Below are 20,324 nucleotides of genomic sequence, written 5' to 3'. Positions count from 1 at the left end.
ATGGTTCTGAACTCTGTGGGTGGTTAATGCCCCCAGTTGTGAGCACCCATATTTCACCTGTGCCCCTCTGAGTCCAGATCACAAACCTACATACGAACCAAGTCTCCCAGTCCTAACAGTATGTGGATGTAAATGAAGTCTCTGCTAAAGAATTAGCTTAGCTGGGCGCAGTGGCTCACACCTGTAATCCCAGCACTTTGGGAGGCCAAGGCGGGTGGATCACCTGAAGTCAGGAGTTTGAGACCAGCCTGGCCAACATGGCAAAACCCTGTCTCTACTAAAAATACAAAAAATTAGCTGGGTGTGGTGGTGGGCGCCTGTAATCCCAGCTACTCGGTAGGCTGAGGCAGGAGAATTGCTTGAACCTAGGAGGCAGAGGTTGCGGTGAGCTGAGATCACGCCATTGCACTGCACTCCAGCCTGGGCGACAGAGCAAGACTCTGTCTCAAAAAAAAAAAAAAAAAAAGAATTAGCTTAAATTTCACTGGTTCTTGTCCCATCTGCTCATCTAGGAACTCCAGCCCACATGAAAAATAACCCAATTGTGTCTGCAAGTCCCCAGTAGGTTACAAACCAATCCGTTTTCACCATCTCCCATGTTCTTTCTTACTTATTCTGGGCCCCTATCTTTGTGTACTCTGACCATGAAGCTGTTTGAGAACTAGTTACCCCTTCCCTCCCCACCCCTGCCACTGCTGTATTTGTGCTCACCGTGGGAACGTTAGTGAAGGTGCCAAGGGTGCTACTTCCTGATACCCCTAAAGGCCCTAATCGTGGAGGTGCCTGACCATGTGCCAGACATTCTCAAACATGCCTGGATCTCAGTTTGAGCTCAAGGTTAACACATACCTGCTGAATACATGATGCCTTGGGTTCCACGATGGTATGATCTGAAGGCAGGCTCTGGCTGCTGTTACATTCCATTGCTCAATTTGGGGGTTAGTGACTCGTAGGGGCATAGGACTGGCCTTGAATGGCTGCCCTGTTGCTAAGGGACAATGCTGTTTTCCAGATATAGGAGGCATGAGGTTCAATTAGAAAGTGCCCAGCACAGCTGCTCCCCCTGGCGGTCTGTGCCTTCCACCAGCCGAGACAGGGAGGTCAGGTTCAGCATCTCTTGCCATTCATAGCTCTCAGTGAGTTCCTCTTAGAACTATGGTTGAGTGCAGGGTATTTAAAAGGGTTTTCTGTATCAGACAAACCCAAAATGAGGAATGTGCTATTAAAAATGTGAATGTCATACAAGATGAAGAAAGGTTGTGGAAATGTTCCAGATTAAAGGAGGCTAAAGAGAGATGACAACTAAATGCAATACTTCACCCTAAACCAGATCCTGCAATAGAGTGGGAAAATGCTATAAAGGACCTTACTGGGTCACCAGACAAAATTGGAATACAAATCGTAGATTAATGTATTCTATCAATGTTAAATTTTCTGAAGCTCTACTGTAGTGATGTGGGGAATATGCCTATTTTTAGGAAATGCACACTGACATATTTAGGCATGGAGGGCCATGATATATGTAATTAATTTATCTTCATATCGTTCAAAAATACACACCCCCATTTATAAAAGAGTGCACATGTGCAAATGATAATACAAATGAGGTAAAATTTCCCAACAGGTAAATCTGGTATAGAGCATACAGATGCTCTTTATACTATTTTTTATAACTTTTCTGTAAACTTGAAATGATTTCCAAATAAAAATGTTTAAAATTTTTAAAGGTCAGTTTCTGTGCAAGCAGTCAGGATCTGGTGGCACAGGCCTGCCTGGACTCTTCCCCTGGCAGAGATGAAGAATGAGGACATGGCTGTGTTCTTCCAGGTAGGGATACCAGACCCATCCCAAAAGGTAGTCAGACACCCTGCACGAAGTTGCCAAGTGCCATCCAAAGTCACCCATCTCTTGAGCTCCCCCATCCTACAAGACACCAAAAATAACAACTTTTTACATTTTCTCCTGAAAATTATGAGCCCTAGGTGTTAATGAAATCTCGGTTATGAAAGGAAGGTGTATTGGTTCATTAACTCATCCATCCATTCATTCATTCAGTAAATGTTTTGAATACCTACTTACCATGTGACAGGAGCTAAGGGAATGAGAATGCATCCCAAGGTACAAGAGGAGACACAACTCCTGTCCTAAAAAAGCCTATAAGCTAGTTGTGATGCACCCACAGCCACGTAAATAAACATATATTTCCAAATGAGTTGACCATGAAGTAGACTTGGGAAGCAATGGGGAGCCCAGCCTTTTACCAGAGCCAGTGGATCCAAGCCCCATGGATGTGATACGCATTCAATTTCCCTCCAGGATTATCTAGGTAACAATTACTTTTGTACCTGATGCTGATGAGAGAAGGACTCATAGTGCTTACCCCATCCTGGGTTCATCCCATCTGTTTTGGCTTAGCTCTCTGCAGGCTGCTCTGCCCTCTGACAGTATCAGGGAAGGGGCCAACAAGCCACTCTATCAATATCCCTGGGCTGATGGGCCAGTGAACTTTGGAAAACAGTCTTTCTACTGATCTGTGCCTGTGAGTAAACATAGCAACCGAACCCATAATGTTTTTAGAAGACGAAGACCACCAAATTCCCTCGTGTGCAAGCCTGGCAGCCTACTGGCCATGAGAGTCCCATCACTGGGATCTGAATCATGAAAGCAACATGACTGTCCTCCAAAAGGACAGAATAATGACCTTATGGGACAGCTGTGGTCCTTTCCACCCCCAATCCCAGGTGGCACCCACTGTGATGCCCTGCACACAAGGGACAAAAGTGGAGTTCATTGCCTTGGTACTCTAAATAGACAGCATTGGGGAGGGAGTTGTGGAGAATGTGTGTGTGACTGTATGTGACATGATGTGTGTCCCTTCTGTCCAGGGGTCTCAGGCAGGACTGACCCCCACCTCTGATGCATTCTGGGCCTGGTCCAAAGAAGTTTCAGGTTTGGATCCAACAAACGTTTACTGAGTCCCTACAAAGTTCCAAGCCTTTTACTTTATACTTTGACACATTTTTATATCATTTTATCTTTAACAATAACCCTTTAAGGTAGGAATTATCTGCATTTTACAGATGATAAAACAATCGCAAAGAGGTTCATTGATTTGCTCAAGTATATCATACAGCTTTTTTTTTTCTTTTTTTTTTTTTTTTTTTAACACACACACACTATACTCTTAGCTGAGGCCTGTCTGCGTTGGTTGCTTATCTTACAGCATTTCTTGTCTTCTCTACTTTTGGAGCGACGGCTCCCCTTTTACAAGCCCCCTTATTTCCTCTCCTTTCACTAGCCCAGGTGGGCTTTTCTTGTTTTAATACTGCATTTAATAGCACAAAAAATCACGAATACAAAGAAACTGGCAAAGGTGTTTGTCAATGATATCCCTGCCTCCTCCACTTTTCTGCTTTCATACCCATATATGTAATGGGCTACATTTTTTAGAAACTTTTCTTTTTCCCCCCAAACATATAACTGTTATGTGATTGGTCAATTGAAGCTGAAACACCCATGGAGAAAGATGTTTTACGGTTACAAGGGCACACTCCCCCCCCACCACCCCCCTCCCCCCCACACTTTCCCACACAATCTTTTGGAGGAATATAGGATATGTACCAGTGTCAGCATTTTCCTGCTCCTGCCTTCCTCACCCAGAGTGTTTCTACCATTTAATTTCCCTTTCATCAACTGCTTAGACTAGAGCCTCTTCTCCCTCCCCTTCTATTTCTCTTCCAATCAGGACCTTTTGGACACTGGGTACTGTTCAATTCTTACTCTGTCAGGCCCATGGGCCATGGTCAAGTAGGTCCTTTAGATCTCGATGCCAGTTGTAGTATTGGTGTCGTCATCTTCCATTGCAGGTAGGTCTGTGTGTCACTTCAGTAGGCTTGTGTGTTCATTTCTTTCACTTTTTCTGACTCATGTTCTAGCACCTGTTTGTGATAGAACAGTAAATACCCTTCACTGTCCAGTACGTCCTTAATACTGGCCTTAGTGATGACGGCATCATCACACTTGAACCACTGGTCCTTGTGGTGCCGGATGAAGCTGGTATAGTGGCCACTCTCCAAGGTTCCTTGGTGATTAACCACAGCAAACAAGGAATACTTATTTTCGTTGTTTCCACTATTGGTTGGCAGCTGCAATTGTCCATTCATTCTGCTCTCTTTACTTGAGGCCATAAACGGCGTCATATCCAGCTCCAGAGGAAAGGAAATGTATGTAGTGATCTTGCGCCTCTGTTTCGCTGAATGTTCAAACCGTTTGAAATGAAAACAGGCAACGACAGGTAATTTATTCATTGTGAGCTGTTTGGTAGATTCCTGGTAGCTTTGGCAACTACCACATTTGATTTTGGCACTGCTTCCTAAGTGCTCTGGCCTCGTAAACCTCCGCAAGCAGTCCGTGAGGGTGGTGATTCCTGGTATGTGGCTTTCCCCGTTCACACTGCTCTCCCTCCCTGGGCTCATGGGCCAGAAGGAGGTGCAAGAGCCAGGCAAGTCCAAACTAATGTCCCAGCATGGGTCTATCGTGGTGGAGACGCCATGGCAGGCTTGACAGGTGACATCAGACTGCAGGCCACCTGTGAAGATTTGGTCTATGATGCAGTTACAGTGGTTGGGATTGTTGGCCGCCTTCCCGACATCATCACCTTTGCAGTGCCTGTGCAGGACATCTAACGCTGCAATGAGGAACTCGTGGGCATCCTGTTGCCTGTACCCTGCTAAATGGCGGGCATGTATCCACACCAGGTGCAGTAACTTATAGGGCACATGAGGAGACGGGTTTCCAGAATACAACTCCCGAAACAGCGACGACATCTCACAGACCAGACACAACTCGGGACTCGGCATCTCACATCGGTGCCTGTCAGAGAGAAAGAAATCTCTCAGTATCGGCGTGTGGGTGAGGGCCTGGACAATGCAGTTCATAAAGCACGTGTTGCCAAGATTGATGAGTCCTCTTAAACCGATCGTAAAGCTGGAGGTGATTCTTCTTCTCCTCGGGTTGTGCCCCAGCAGTTCTAATTCTGGTTTGGTTGTTTCCCAGGTTGGGAATTTCTCACCAAGGCCTGGCACTGAACACTGCTGGTGAGAAACCTCTGTTGAGGTGGAGGCTTGTAATTTCAAAGCTTCTCCTTGCTCTTCTTTGGCAATTTGCTCAATGTCTTTGTCATATACATAGTCCTTACACATAAAGCAGTATATACCTCCGTAATACAGGTCTACTGCTAAGTTGTGTTGTTTCGTCTCTGCGTGCTCGTGAATGTGTTTCTCCGTGAAGCAGCCAAAGAAGACACAGGAAAGGCAAGAGTGGAGTCTGTTCAGATGGGTGCCACACACATGGCAGATGCAGGACTTTGCCTTGCTTTTCCTGGTCTCTGGGGTTCCACACCACACGAAGCACTGGTAGATAACCCGCAGTTCCTGCCTCCAGTTCTCTCCCACCTTAAAGCTGTTCACGTGAGAACAGCCTGGTGGCCCCACGGCAAAATCCACATCCAGGCATCCGCCCCCAGGGCCGCGCCGGGGCCGGGGCCGGGGCGGGGGCCGGGGCCTAGGCTGCGGCGGGGTACGGAGCCGGGTCTGGGGCCGGGGCCGGGGTCGGCGGCGCGGCGCACGACTGCGACGCGGAGAGGGATCGGGGGGCCGCGGTGGATCGGAGGGAAGGGTGGGGGGAGGAACCTCGTCGCTGTTGCCGCCACCGCCGCTCCGCGCTGGGTTCTCATCCTCCAGCTCCTGCTTCGGCTCCTGCTCCGCCTCCCGGACCGGCTCGGGTTCGGGCTCCAGCTTGAGCTCAGCCCGGCGGCCCGGACCCTCCGCCGTCTCCACCTTCCCAGCGGCGTCCACCTTCCCCGCCGTCTCCACCTTCTCGGTGGCGTCCACCTTCCCCGCCGCCTCCGCCTTCCCCGCCGCCTCCGCCTTCCCCTCCACCTTCGCCTCCGCCTCCACCTTCCTCTCCGCCTTCTCCGCCGTCTCCGCCTCCTCTACCTCCTCCGCCTCCACTGGCGGCGGCTCCTCCCCCTGCTCGCAGGGCTCGGGCGGCCACTGGGCGTGGCGGCGCGGGGGCCACGCAGACCTGGGGTGTCCCCCGCCCGGCCTGAGGGAGCGCGGTGGCTGTGGCAGCTGGACCCAAAAGGGACTTTCACTGAAGGAGGCGGCGGCGGAAGCAGGCGACGCCCCCGGGAATCCTCCCGCCGAAGCCCCCTAGTGGAGGCTGCTTCTGCAGCCAGGCCCCGTTTCCTTTAATTCAGTATTTTCCAAACTTGCTTGTTCACGAGAATCACGTGGGGAGCGTGTTAAAATTACAGATTCCTTGGCTCCACCCGCAGGCCTACTGAATCAGAATCTCGAAGGGAGGTACTCCGGAACCTGTATCTCTAACTAGGGCCCCAGAGGCTGCTTATGATCAGGCAAGTTTGGGAAACACAGCTCTAATTCATTGAGGCTGGCGGGAAGGGGGGCGGGGACCGCGCAGTCTCTTTAAGGCGCTTCCAGCTCTCGGCTCCAATCGCTGCTCTGACCCCCTTCATCGTCTCCTCCCCTCTCCTCGTCCTTCCCCTCGTCTATGCAGGCTTCCCTCGGCCACTGCGGGGCTGGGGGCCGAGCGGGTGCCAAGTCCAGAAATGTTTCTGAGGCTGTGAAATGTCCCCTCTGAGGGGGGTCCTAGGGAGCGCAGGCAGAAGCCGTGACAGGCCATCATTTCGGCGGCCGAGCCTGCCTCTAGCCTCGTCCCTGTCTCCCTTCCCACGCCAGGTCCTGCGCTTCCCGAAAAGGATGAAGCTCCAGCTGCAGTTCTGGGGAGGCCTGGACCCCAGCTCCGGGGGGGCCGGGCTACCAAGGCCGCTGGGCCTGGAGAGGCGCGTCCCTGGCCCATCTTATCAGCGCTCTGCAGGGTCTGGGCCTGCTGCTCGCGTCCTCCTGGGCTCCCAAGGCCACGGGTGGGTTAATGGCTTGACAGCCGGCCTCCTGGCCCAGCAGACGCTGAGCAGCCCGATGGCACAATCCACCTCTTCTCTCCAAGGCCAGCTGGAGGGACGAGGCACGACAAGGCCATCCCTACAGCTGGCACTTCCCCTACAGCTGAGAGGGGGCCTAAACTACAGGACACACTCCCAAGACCCTTAAGCCCTGGCAGCATCCCGGGGGAGGGGGGCAGCAGGTGGAAGTGGAAAGAAGCCTGTGGAGCTGCCAGCAGGGAGAGGGAGTCGGACATGAGGCTGAGAGGCCTCTGGGAACCCCTGTGCCAAGGGGCTGCTGGCACTGGGCAGCAGCACCCCAGAGCCCACGAGGAGTGTGCCCAGAGCAAGTGGCTCAGACCTGGGTCATGGCTCGAGGGTGTCGGGCTGTAGCTGCTGGTCCCAGAGAGTGCAGCCCAGGGCAGGCATCAGGACAGGAGTAGGAGGAGAAAGAGTGTTCTAGGAAGAGTCTAGTCCCCTAATCCTGGTGGTGGCTGGCTGTAGCCTAGTGCACGCTGTCTGGCTTGTGTGGCTGTGCTGCCTGAGTATACATACCCTAGCAACATTCTCCTTGCTCAGCACTGGACATCAGCTCTCCACCTGGCCCCTTCCTCTAGGGAGGGGATGGGGAGGCCTCCTAGGGTTAGCAGCAGGAGTTGGGCCTCAGGAATCAGGAGCCCTTGAAAGGAGGATGCGTGGTTCCCATAAAACTGAGGGTTGCCCTGGGCCCTACCCTTCCTGAGTCAGCTCTTGCTTCAATTCCTTGAAGCACCCCAGCATCCTTTCAATAAATGCCTGCCCTTTGTGGCCTGCAACCAGAGGAACTGCAACTAGCACACTCACTGAAGGAATCCTGCTGCTGCTGCTGCTGCTAAAAACAACCGAGGTCATGGATGAGGGGGTGGAGGATACTCTCATCCCACCTCCAGACTGACAACAAAAAGACCTAAAGATCTCTGTGTACCTGGGACTGTCTACCATTGAAGATTAGCCATGGTAACTTGTTGACTTAGTGATCAACTTCCTGCAGAAGCCCATAGGTCCACCTGGACTCTGCCCAGGCCAGCGTGTTCTGAAAATGGAGGGCTCTGTCACCATTCACTCAACAAATGTTTATTCTGCACTGACCGAGGGCCAGATGTACCAAGAGCTGTGGACACAGCACTCCAACTTACTCCAGGGCTACTGAAATCAGGGATGGCTTCCCCAAAAGGCACACTAAGGAAAGTCTATGTCACTAGCAGAGAAGAGGCACCAAAGACAAAAAATCAAAAAAGAAAAAATACCAGAAACAGTTTGACATTTGATTTTTTTTAAGTAGTCCTCGTGGGAAAAATCAGAACTTTGTTGTACTTCCTTACATTCATTTCCTGATTACATGATGCTTTTGTTTTGAATCACGTGTGGAGGGTGTCACCAAAATCTTTAGATGCTTTGTCCTTATGTGGATCTGGACCCAGATCCTAGCAAATGTTACCATCTCTGCCTCACAAAGATCTGACAGAATGCAGGCAGTTGGGGCTATCCTTAGGAGAGACAGCTCTCCTTCGCAGTAGATGCACCTGGGTGATAAATCCAACTCTGACCACAAGGTGGCAAAAGAGTAAATGACAATTCCTCATATATGTTTTGTATGTTTATATAAAACTATTGGTTTATATAAAATGCTCTCTAAAAATATTAAGAAAAACGTGTGCTCCTTCACACATTTTTGGGTTGATGTCTGATATTTTGCATCACAAATGTCAATTGGCTACAAATAATGTAATTTGTGACAAATGTTAATATTCAAAAATAAAACTGTTATGTCACTATTTCACATGAATCCGGTGAAACCTAAATACCTTAGTGACTTGAGAGCCACCATCATCTGTTTTAAAAATGTATAACTGAGCTCTTCTTTGATACTTGGAAGTTGTACATTTTCCCTTTTCTCAGCTCTTAATTCCATTCTGTTTTTCCAACAGAATTTTGTCTCAATAATTGTCTGTTTTTTCACTTGAAATGTTTTTGATTATCCTATCGTATTTCTCTGCAGCAAAAATGTGTATATATTTTTCAATTTAAATGCTCTTTAAATGTTCCTCTGATTATAAGGCTCTAAGTGTTGTTTAAAAATTTGCTCTTGTTTGAATTATCATGACAATTAGTATTAGAATAAAATGGATCAAAACATTGTGAATATATTACAAATTTTGATAGGTAATTATTAAACGTAAAACAAAAGTTCATTGTAGATAGGGCTTTTTTAAAAAAAATTAATGGGTGTATCCATGGATAAACATTGCTTTTTGCTAGAATGAGATAGGCTTCAGCATCAATTCTCTTCCTATTTTTTGTTTGGTTAAATGTTAGCACACAGAAACCTCATTTATATGAATAAGTGAATAGGAATGGACATTTTGTTTTAGCAATGCACGCAAGTCTTTGAATTCCTTTGGAGATATATGGGGGGAAATTACACAATGATTTATCCTCAAAATTATTTCTCATGATTTATCAGCTGATAACTTCATAGGTTTTTTCTTCAATTCTACTGGAAGCAAAGAATTGGAAACCATCTGAGTTGCAAAAGGATTTTATCCCCATTCATTTGTTAGAGCAAGTTGTTTGTTTACCATCGTCAGCATTGTTCGGAATTGTCTCTCCTGTGCCCCAAGGATTTTACATCACAGGGCAGCGCACCCAGGTTAAGATTCAGGATAGGTAAAAGATATGCTTTTTCTTTTGTAAAGTGCAAAAAGGACCATTGTGAAAGGGGAGATAGAAAAAGAGAACCAGTTTGATTCCTACACTGCAAGTATGTTCTCTGGCAGGTCAATTTTAAAAGACTACACAGGAAATTTGAGGATATAGAAATTGATCCCCTTAAAACTCCTGTACTCCAGGGTGATGCACATTCCACTTTAAAAGTTGCTAGTTTATATTTATTATTATAAAAGTAATATATACAATATTCGTGTTTTTTTAATAACAAGGTATACAAGGCATAACATGAAAAGTTAAAGCTCTTCCCTCCCCCGCCAATCACACCCATTTTTATTCCCCTGAGATAACTACTTGTTAGCACTTTCACATTTAGCCTTTAAGAAATTGTCTATGCAAATACAAGCATGTTTTATACATGCAGTTGTCCCTTGGTAATCCGTGGGAGATTGGTTCCAGGACCCCTGTGGATACCAAAATCCATAGAGATTCAGGTCCCTGATATAAAATGTTGTGTAGTATTTGCATATAACCTATACACAGCCCCTCATATACTTTGAATCATCTCTAGGTTACTTTGAATCATCTCTAGGTTACTTTGAATCATCTCTAGGTTACTTTTTGTATCATACCTGATACAATGCAGATGCTATGTAAATAGTTGCCGTACTCTATTGTTTAGGGCAGCGATCCCTAACCTGTTTGGCACCACCAGGGACCCGTTTTGTGGAAGACTTTTTTTTTTTAACGGCGGTTGGGAAGGGATGGGGGGCTTCAGGGGCGGGGAGATGGTTTCCGGATGAAACTGTGCCACCTCAGATCACCAGGCATTAGATTCTCATAAGGCGCGTGCAACTTAGATCCCTCGCATGCACAGTTCACAATAGCGTTCATGCTCCTATGAGAATCTAATGCCGCTGCTGATCTGACAAGAGGCGGAGCTCAGGCCATAATGCTGGCCCGCCCGCTGCTCACCTCCTGCTGTGCGGCCCGGTTCCTAACAGGTGGCCCCCCGGGTTGGAGACCCCTGGTTTAGGGAATAGTGACAAGAAAAAAAGTCTGTACCTGTTTGGTACAGATGCAACCATCCTTTTTTTTTCCTGAATATTTTCCATCTGTGTTTGGTTGAATCCCATGACTCGGAACCCACGGATATGGAGGTCCAGCTGTATTTTTTTAATGAAATATAAATTAGACTGTAATATATAGAAGTTCTCTCCAAATTGATCTACACACCCAGTGCAATGCCAGTAAAAACTTCCAATGAGTTTTTTGGGGTAGACTTTAAAAAGTGATCCTTAAATTACTATAAAAACTAAAAGGCATTTTCCCCCTTCCTGATTTCTCTTTCTCCTTTCTGGAAATGAGGATTTAAAGGCTATAGCTTATAGCCATTTTGCAACCAATCATGATGGAAAGACCAAAAAGCTGATCACCTCTGGACCTATCCTTACATGAGAAAAAAATATATCATATTTTGTCAACTCTAAGAGGTACATCTTAAATGAAAATCATTTAAAGATTTTCAACATCCCTGAAATCTTTAAATGACAATTTATGATTATATTTGGCAGCATTTTTTTTTCTTTCTTGGTGGCACATAATATACTGGAGTGTCTCACAGGCAATAGTGTCTTAAGATCAGTGTAATGCTCAAAATGTCATCCTATTTAAGTCTTTGTTATTTGGAACCTGGTTATATGTAGCTGAATACAATATTCCTAGGTGATAGCAAGCTTCTTATTTTCACTCCTGATGGAATTTCAAGTTCTTTTCCTGGCCTTTAAGGCCCTACTGATTCTGGCCTTAGACTCTTAGACCTCACTTTCTATCAACTTAGCATTGCCTCAAACAAACTCGATTTATTGCTGTTCTTTGAATAAGCTAAGCTGGCTTCTGCTTCCAGGCCTATGCCCTTATTGTTTCTTCTTCTTCTTCTTTTTTTTTTTTTTTGGAAAGCTCTTCCCTTAAACACCATCACCACATGATATGTTAAATCACCACCACATGATATATTATATATTACACACACACACACATAATCAATATAAACTCCATGAGAGTAAAATGTTTACTATTGTATTCCCAATGCCTCCTTGGGACTTAATACATATTTAAATATTTGTAAAATGAACAAATGTATGTTTTTCATTGTGCATGAAATCAACCATATTTTCTTATGTTTATTGATCATTTTGTATTACCTTTTTTGCAAACTGCCTATTGACATCCTTTGCCTATTTTTCTTGTGGCTTCTTATTAATCATTATCATAAGTAACACTTGTATGGTACTTGAAGTATGCCAAAAGCTGCTCTATTAAATTATTTAAACCTCACCACAATTTTGAGAAGTAGGTGCTGTTATCATCCCCATTTTACATGTGAAGGAACTGAGGCACAGAGAGATTGAGAGACACCCAAGAGGTTGGGCTGTTAGCTACTAGCCCATTGTGTGTCAGAGTCTAGTGTACATATGTGTTTTTCCCATTTATCATTGGCTGTTGTATTTTACTTTATTTTTTACCATATGATGTTTAAGATTATTATGTAAACAAGTTTCTGAAACTTTTATTTGTGGATCCTGAATTTTGGTGTTGTATTTGTGAAAGTTTTTTTTTCCTGATTATAAAAGTATAGAGCAAGGGAAAAGGGCCCGAGACAAAAAAAAAGGGTGGGGGCTTGATGATTTCAACAAACGAAAATAAGGCCAGAAGGGCTTGAGCTTAGTGACCAAGAAGGAGGAGAGTGGCATAAGTGGAGGATGAAGATAGAGGTGCAGGCAGGGGCCAGATTACCTGGAGCTTTGTAGACAATTATATAGAATTTGAATATTGTCTCAATTGCAATGAGAATCATTTGAAAGCTTTTAAGCAAGGAAATGACATGAAATGATTTATGGTTTACATACAATAATTGTAATCAAATCATAATAATAGTAACTAACATTTATTAATTGCTTATGATATGCCAGGCAGTGTTTTATAAGTGTCTTATCACACCCTGATGGGGTAGGTACTAATATTATTCTCACTATACAGATGAGGAAACTGAGGCACAAAAACCTTAAGTACCTTCAATTTGCCTACGCTTACTTTTTGCTTCTATGCCTCTTCCTATTCAGAATATACCTAATTTCAACAACGAGATGTCTGATGCCTACTTTTTCCATGCCACTGATGTCTCACTAGTGGCCTGCAAGTCTTTACGCAGGTAAAGAAAAGGGAAAGAGCAAATCCATTTAGCACCAGGGCCCCTAGGTCTAAGAGTTGATCAGGTAGGCTCCTCCCATCCATTTGGACCATGCCCAACTGCTTAGGAATAGCCATGCTGCTGGCCCATTCATGATTACCAAGGGAGTCAGCTCAGCAACCCCTGCTACCAATGCAGCAGGACTAGGCCTTGCATCCTGTACTCCTGTAGCCATACCAGCAATCAGGGAACTGAGGAATGGGGTCATCAGGATCTACCACAGGCTTCCAGGAGATTCCAGCCCTACAGAGGGAAGAAGCAAGGCTAGTGGTGTGGAAGGGGCAGGGAATGGAGGAGCCCAAGCCTTCCTTCAAGCACACATCTAGCCCTAGGTAGCCTGCACCCATGTGATTCCAATGGCCCAAGCCCTTCTCTGGCTGAAAGAAAGGAAAGGCTCAAAGAGACAGCAAAGTCAAGGTTATAAGAGATGACAGCAATGATGTAGATTATACTGCATCATACCATGACCAGCTATTTCCCCAGTTTTCACCACATAGTGCCCCCAGCTAGTCTGTTTCTTAGCACCCCTCAGTCTTCAGTACCTCTGACTGTACCCCTTCAGAATGATGGCCCATTTGACTTATACTTTTGATTCTCTATCTATCTGCATTACATGGGCTCTGTACCAGCCTCCTGCATGCTGGCACAACACCTGGCAAACTGCCTATCTATCTTGCCCCTGCCTTTTAGGAAAACCCTGGAATCCCCAAATCTGTGTCCAGTGCTGGAGTTAGCCCTGTGGGATATAGCTGGCCCTGGGCCTGAGCTTAGACAGAAGCACCACGAATAACACATTCTGCAATTTTACTCACCGAAGTTTGGAATCTGACTTCTTGTGCTTGTCCTGAATGCCTCTTTCAAGCTTGAAGAGTGGGGAAGGGTATATTGCACCCAAATTGGCAGATAAAAATCTTAATCACACTTTTAATTCTTTTTCAAAATATTAATCCTTTTAAAACCACAAAAAGCAATACAAATGAAATTATATAACCTCAATAGAAGGAAATTCAGCAATGTCTCCACAATTACATGTGTATTCACTATTTGACTCAGTAATCCCACTTCTGGGAATCTGACCCAAAGATACAAAATGACATATGCACAAGGTCATTCATTGCAGCACTATGTGTAATAACAAAAGACTGGAGGAAAATAAATGTCCACCACTAAGGGAGTAGTTGAATAAATTGTAGTGGAGCCATGAAATGAAGTATTATGGAATGAGACAGATTTCTATATAGTGAGATTAGGATTAACAGCTGGAATATATTGTTAAGTGGACAAACCAAGTACAGATCATTGTATATAGTATGCTACCTTTTGGGTAAGAAAGTTGGGGAAATACAAATATTTACAGAAACATTTACTTACATCTTAGAAATAAATGGTACAATGGAATGTAAATTAACTTAAATGGTTACTTATGGGGGAAGGAGGAAATAGGGTGGAGGGAATAGGCAAGAAAATGAGATGTTTCTAAAGTCCCTTGTTTTACAGCTTTGACTTTAGAATCCTGTCAATTAAAAAGAAAAAAAAATCTCTAAAAGCAAACTGAATCAAATGACCCTAACTGTGTAGCAAATTGATGGTATAACCACACAAAGAAAATGTTTATTTCAAGTAACTTAGAAACAATGTTCTGACTATACATCTCCCATGGGATATACCCCAAAGAAAAAAGGAACTGTGTTCAGTAGTCTTTTTCTAGTAGTATTATTGGTATTATTATTTTGAAACTGTTAAATGTATGTTGTAGGATAAAACAAATAAGTAATTATGATAATGTTGTCAGGAATCAAGATTTTTAACATAAAGTAAGGAAAATCATGCAGTTATAAAATTCAAAAAGAAAAAAACTCTGTAGTCTTACTTTTAGAATACAAATATCCACGTGAACTTATAATTTATTTTTCTTTTTCTAAAAAGTACATATTTTCTAGTTCTGTCCACTGAAAAGACATAGCAGAATGGTCTCTACATATCATTTCCTACCAAAAGGAGCCAATCCTCCTTGGAGAAATGATGTTTCCAGGTCTGTAACAGGAAAAATACAAAATGAGTCTGGAACATCTTGGTTTGCTAGAAAGCAAATGAGATATCAAAGACTAATGGAGTTATGCCAAAAGAACACAGGAACCATTATGAAAGGGTTCTCACTTGCCTATATTGGGACAATTAAAGATGCTGCAGTTCATGAAGCATCAAATGTATAAAATACATGAGTTCATAATGACATTTAAAAACATTGGTCACCCCTGAGTGATACTAGGGCAACAAATCATTATTGCAAAAATAAAATAAAGAGAAAAATCAAGAATTTATGTCACCTTTCCAGTATGAACTGCATTTCAGGGTAACCAAATACTTAAAGACGTTCTTTTATATGCAACAATTTCAAACAGAAAATGCAGGAGAAATTGTAGAATTAGTATATCCCCCTTTGCAATCCCTAATGAAATAATAGATCCAGGCCAAGGTTGCTTAACCCTGGCACTATTGACATTAGTGGCTAGATAATTATCTGGGGGCTGTCCTATGCACTGAAGGATTTTTAGCAGCATCTCTGGCACCTATCCACTAAATGCTAATAGCACTCCCCCATCCGCCACCCCCCAACCAGTCATGACCATAAAAAAATGTCTCCAGACTTTGTCAAATGTCCTCTGGGGGACAAAATTTCCTCTAGTTGAGAACCACTTATCTAGGGCAATGATCATGAACAGATAAAAAAGATTAGGTAAAATAGCTGTTGGAACTTTACAAAGGAGGGATCAGGTTGATACCAACTGAACCCACCAATCAATTTGAGCATCACTGAGTGGAAGAGCTACATATTAGGTGCCTCCTGATGTGATACAATAGGAAGCATGCAGCATCACCTGTGATGTATTGATAATGCCAAAAGTAAAAATTGAACCGAAATCTAATCAAATGTCTAGCTCTCTAACTCCCAGTTTATGGTGAATATAGGAGATAGAAGAACAAGTTTGATGTCACCACTGGGAAACAATCAGCCAAATCCAGAACGTGGGATATTTTATAGGAAAAATGACCTGATTAACAACCAAATTAAATGCTACATTCAGTTTGGATCCTATTTTTTTTTAAATCAGCTTTAAAAGTACTTCTTGACACAATCATGGAGATTTGAATATGAATTGGTATTTAATTATATTTAGGAATTATTAATTAAAAAATTGTGGTAATGGTATTGTAGTTATGTAAAAGAATTTTCTGTTAGAGATGCATACTCACATTAAGTGAACTCATATAATATCTAGGATTTGCATTTAAAAGACTCCCACAAATCTTAGGGTGGGGAGGATAAATGAAAGAAGAGTCGCAAAATGTTTAAAATTGTTGAAGCTGAGTAAACGGGGTTCATTTTACTTATCTCTCTACTTTTTGTGTATATTTAAATCTTTCCATGATAAAATGATTTTTCCAAACAAAGCAATAGAATTTCTGTTTCCAGAAAGATGTGGTAGGTGTACTTTTCCCTTTTCTACCTGCTAAGTAAAGTTATAGACCCTGGACATTGTATAAAACATAAACATAAGAAGACTCTGAAAAGTAGATAGTATAAGGCAGATAGCTATAGACCTCAGAATGACACAGGAATGACACAGCAGTGAGTCCCCTGAGGATGTTTTTCCCTCGTATATGCTGGACTGGGTGCTGGAGAAGCTGATAACCTGGAAACACCAATGAGCATAGACAAAAAAGGAAAGAAAGAAAGAAAGAGAGAGAGAAAGAAAGAAAGAAGCTTTAAGGCTTAAAAAAAGCCTACTCTCTCTAGGCAAAGGAACAGGAAAGGGGCAACCTTTCATGACAGAAGAGTTTTAGGTAATAATCACCACTCTACTCCAAACCAACACCACAGAAAAAATTGCGGTACCACCCATGCTAACAGAGGCCAAATGGGAAACTTGGACTTCCACCCTTGGCAGGCTGTAACAAAGTGCCCAAATCCCCCATCAGGGAGGCGTCAGAGAAAGGCAAGTTGGGAGCCAAAACTTATTAGTTCTGGGCAATAACAAGCCCCCTCTGACACAGTGCCAGTGGAGACTACATAGGAAGCCTGGACTTCCACAGCCACCTGGAAATAAGGAGGGGGTCCCTCCTCTTTTACCCACTGGAGTGGTATCAGAGGAGGTCTAGTGTAAAATCAGCACTTTCACAACCAGCCAGCAGTTACAAGCACACCCCCGACCATTACCACCATGGTGTTAGTGGAGAGCATAAGGAACCATAACAAGGCATCCCTGCCCCTCTTGGCCTGTGTGCTATCAGCAGAAGCATTGTGGGGAACATGAACTCCCACATTGCCAAGGAGTAATGGGGAGACCCTCCTCCCAGTATCAAAGGAGGCTGAATGGAGAATCTGGACTTCTACTCCACCTGACCATAATGAAGTGGCGCTCCCCTTTTCCTGTCAGACCAGTGTCAGAAGGAGGCTGATAAAACAGAAGATCCAGAGTCTCATAACTTAACACTCCAAATATCCAGCTTTCGATAAAAAAATCACTTATATCAAAAGCCAGGAAAATCTCAAATGAGAAAAAAGACAATCAAGAGACACCAACCACAAGATGACACAGATGTTCATAAAGATGCTTTGACAATAAATTACAAACATAAGCAAGACAAATGAAAAAGTATAAAGTCCCAGCAAATAAATAGAAGACATAAAAAGAACTAAATGGATTTTTTTGGCGGGGGGGTTGTTTGTTTGTTTGAGATGGAGCCTCATTTTCTCTCCCAGGCTGGAGTGCAGTGGTGCAATCTCAGCTCATTGCAATCTCCACCTCCCAGGTCCAAGCGATACTCCTGCCTCGGCCTCCCAAGTAGCTGGGATTACATGCTCCTGCCACCAGACCCAGCTAATTTTTTTTTTTTTTGTATTTTTAGTAGAGATGGCCAGGCTGGTCTCGAACTCCTGATCTCAAGTGATCCGCCCACTTTGGCCTCCCAAAGTGCTGGGATTATAGGAGTGAGCCACTGCACCCGACCAGATATTTTAAAACTGAAAAACATGATAACAAATTGTAAAACATAGTAGATGGATTCAATAGCAGAATAAAATGGACAGAGGAAAGAATCAGTGAACTTGAAGATAGAAAAATAGAAATTACCCAGTGTGAATTACAGAGAGAAAACAGTCAAGAAAAAAAAAATAAACAGACCTGGGGAACGTGTGGGACTATAATAAAAGATCAAACATTTGTGTCATGGAAGTTAAAGAGAGGAGAAAAAAAGATGAGGCTGAAAAAGTATTCAAAGAAACAATGGCTGAAAATTTCCCAAGACATAAACTTACAGATTCAAGAAGTTGAATAAGTCTCAAATAGGATAAACACAAAGAAATCCATACCAGGACACATCATAGTCTAACTTTTGAAAACAAAATCTTGAAGGCAGTAAGAGAGAAACACCACCTTGTCTATAGGGGAAAAACAATTTCGATCACAGAGAATTTCTCACCAAAAAACCATGGAGGCAAGAAGTAAGTGGCACAACATTTTTCATCTGCTGAAGGAAAGAACTGTCAATCCAGAATTCCATATCTAGCAAAAATATCCTTCAGGAATGAAGGGGAAATCAAGATGTTCTCAGTTGAAGAAAACTGAGAGAATTTGCCACCAGCAAACCTGACTTAAAAGAATGGCTGGGCCAGGTGCAGTGGCTCACGCCTGTAATCCCAGCACTCTGAGAGGCTGAGGTGGGTGGATCACCTGAGATCAGCAGTTCAACACCAGCCTGGCCAACATGATGAAACCCCAACTCTACTAAAAATACAAAAATTACCCAGACATGGTGGTGCGAGCCTGTAACCTCAGCTACTTGAGAGGCTGAGGCAGGCTTGAGCCTGGGAGGCGGAGGTTGCAGTGAGCTGAGATCATGCCACTGCACTCCAGTCTGGGCAACAGAGTGAGACCCTCTCTCAAACAAAAAACAAAACAAAAAAATATAGGTAAATATAATAGATTTGTCCTTTTCCTCTTGAGTTTCCTAAATTATGTTTGATAGTTAAAACAAAAATTATAACACTATCTGATATGGTTCTCAATGTATGGAGAGGAACTATTTAAGACAATTAAATTATAAAGGAAGTAGAGTAAAGAGAGGTAAGGTTCTACACTTCAACCAAAGTGGTAAAATGTCAACACCAGTAGAATGTGAAGAGGTCTGTATATATATTGTAATAGCTAGAGCAACCAATAATAAAAATGATACAAAGAGATACACTTTAAAAACACTATAGGTAAATAGAAATTCAATTCTAAAAAAGAAATGTTCAAGTAACTCACAGGAAGGCAGGAAAAAGAATAGAGAAACAAAAAACAAAGACATCAAACACAAATAAATAAATAAAATGTCAGACTTAAGCCCTAACATATTAATATCAAAAACTGGAAACAAAATTAGCCAGGTGTGGTGGCACTGGCCTGTAGTCTCAGCTACTAGGGAGGCTGAAGTGGGAGGATTGCTTGAGCCCAGGAGTTCAAGGCTGCAGTGAGCTATGATCACATCACTGCACCTGCACACCTGCAGTCCAGCCTGGGTGACAAACCCTATCTCAAAAAAAAAAAAAAAAAAAAAAAAGCCTGGAAACAACCCCAAATGTTCTTTAATAGATGAATGGTTAAACATATTGTGATACATCCATACTATGGAATACTATTCACCAATAAAAGGACAAACTATACACACAACTTGAATAGGTCTCAAGGGCATTATGTTGAGTGGGGACAAAATCCATTTGCAAAAGATCACAAACTGTATGATTCAATTTACATGACATTCTTGAAGTGACAGAATTACAGAGATGGGAAACAGATTAGTGGTCACCAGGGATTAGGAATGGTAGGTGGGAGGGGAGTGAGTATGACTACAAAGGGGCAGCAGGAGGAAGACCTTTGTGGTGATGGAACAGTTCTGTATCTTGCTTGTGGGATCTACATGATGAGATGATGTAGAGCTATACACACAACATTGTTCCAATGCCCATCTTCTGTTACACAAGATGTGACCATTGGGGGAAACTGAGTGGAGGTTACACAAAACAAAACAACTGTAATCTCTTGAAAAAGGAATGTCAAATAAAAATAGGAGGAAATTGAATTCTCAGCAGTAATTGTCTACCATATCATTTTCAACTAGAATGTCAAGGGTTTTTGTTCCCCCTGAATGCAGAGGTTACCAAGTATCTCCAGAGGTTCCAATAAGACTGATCCCAGAGGGGTCAGTTCTATGTGACACTATGTCCTTTGCTGTTCCCCTGGGCAATATCGATGGAAGCCCAGGTCTTCATCCAGGACCACAGCTGTTGGAGTGTCTTAGTCCATTTGTGCTGCTGTAACCAAATACCTGAGACTGGGTGACTTATAAATAATAGAAATT

General features: G+C 43.5%; 1 protein-coding gene and 1 long non-coding RNA gene across 2 annotated transcripts, besides 3 other annotated features; one reads left to right on the top strand and one right to left on the bottom strand.

The window, feature by feature from the left end:
* USP27X (ubiquitin specific peptidase 27 X-linked) lies at nt 2,951–6,025 on the bottom strand. The gene has a single exon (NM_001145073.3). The coding sequence runs from the start codon at nt 5,199–5,201 to the stop codon at nt 3,885–3,887; it is 1,317 nt and encodes a 438-aa protein (NP_001138545.1). The 5' UTR covers nt 5,202–6,025; the 3' UTR covers nt 2,951–3,884.
* Nucleotides 5,674–5,753: a silencer, noted in NCBI's record as "silent region_20847". NCBI's record gives its function as "represses an Ori minimal core promoter by ATAC-STARR-seq in GM12878 lymphoblastoid cells {active_cell/tissue: GM12878}" and the evidence as "EXISTENCE:reporter gene assay evidence [ECO:0000049][PMID:35858748]".
* Nucleotides 5,794–6,203: a silencer, noted in NCBI's record as "silent region_20846". NCBI's record gives its function as "represses an Ori minimal core promoter by ATAC-STARR-seq in GM12878 lymphoblastoid cells {active_cell/tissue: GM12878}" and the evidence as "EXISTENCE:reporter gene assay evidence [ECO:0000049][PMID:35858748]".
* Nucleotides 6,153–8,785, top strand: USP27X-DT (USP27X divergent transcript). The gene is made up of 2 exons (NR_026742.1): nt 6,153–6,418; nt 6,762–8,785. It is a non-coding gene; the product is annotated as a USP27X divergent transcript (long non-coding RNA).
* Nucleotides 10,145–10,645: an enhancer, noted in NCBI's record as "H3K4me1 hESC enhancer chrX:49639467-49639967 (GRCh37/hg19 assembly coordinates)". NCBI's record gives its function as "activates a minimal SCP1, AML or CMV promoter by ChIP-STARR-seq in naive H9 embryonic stem cells {active_cell/tissue: H9 hESC(naive)}" and the evidence as "EXISTENCE:reporter gene assay evidence [ECO:0000049][PMID:30033119]".

The sequence above is a fragment of the Homo sapiens genome, chromosome X, assembly GCF_000001405.40.
Source record: "Homo sapiens chromosome X, GRCh38.p14 Primary Assembly".
NCBI lineage: Eukaryota > Metazoa > Chordata > Mammalia > Primates > Hominidae > Homo > Homo sapiens.
This window is presented reverse-complemented; position numbering and strand designations above follow the sequence as displayed.

Bases quoted from the DNA above. Each gene is read 5' to 3' on its own strand.
- USP27X (NM_001145073.3), bottom strand. From the start codon at position 5,201: ATGTGTAAGGACTATGTATATGACAAAGACATTGAGCAAATTGCCAAA.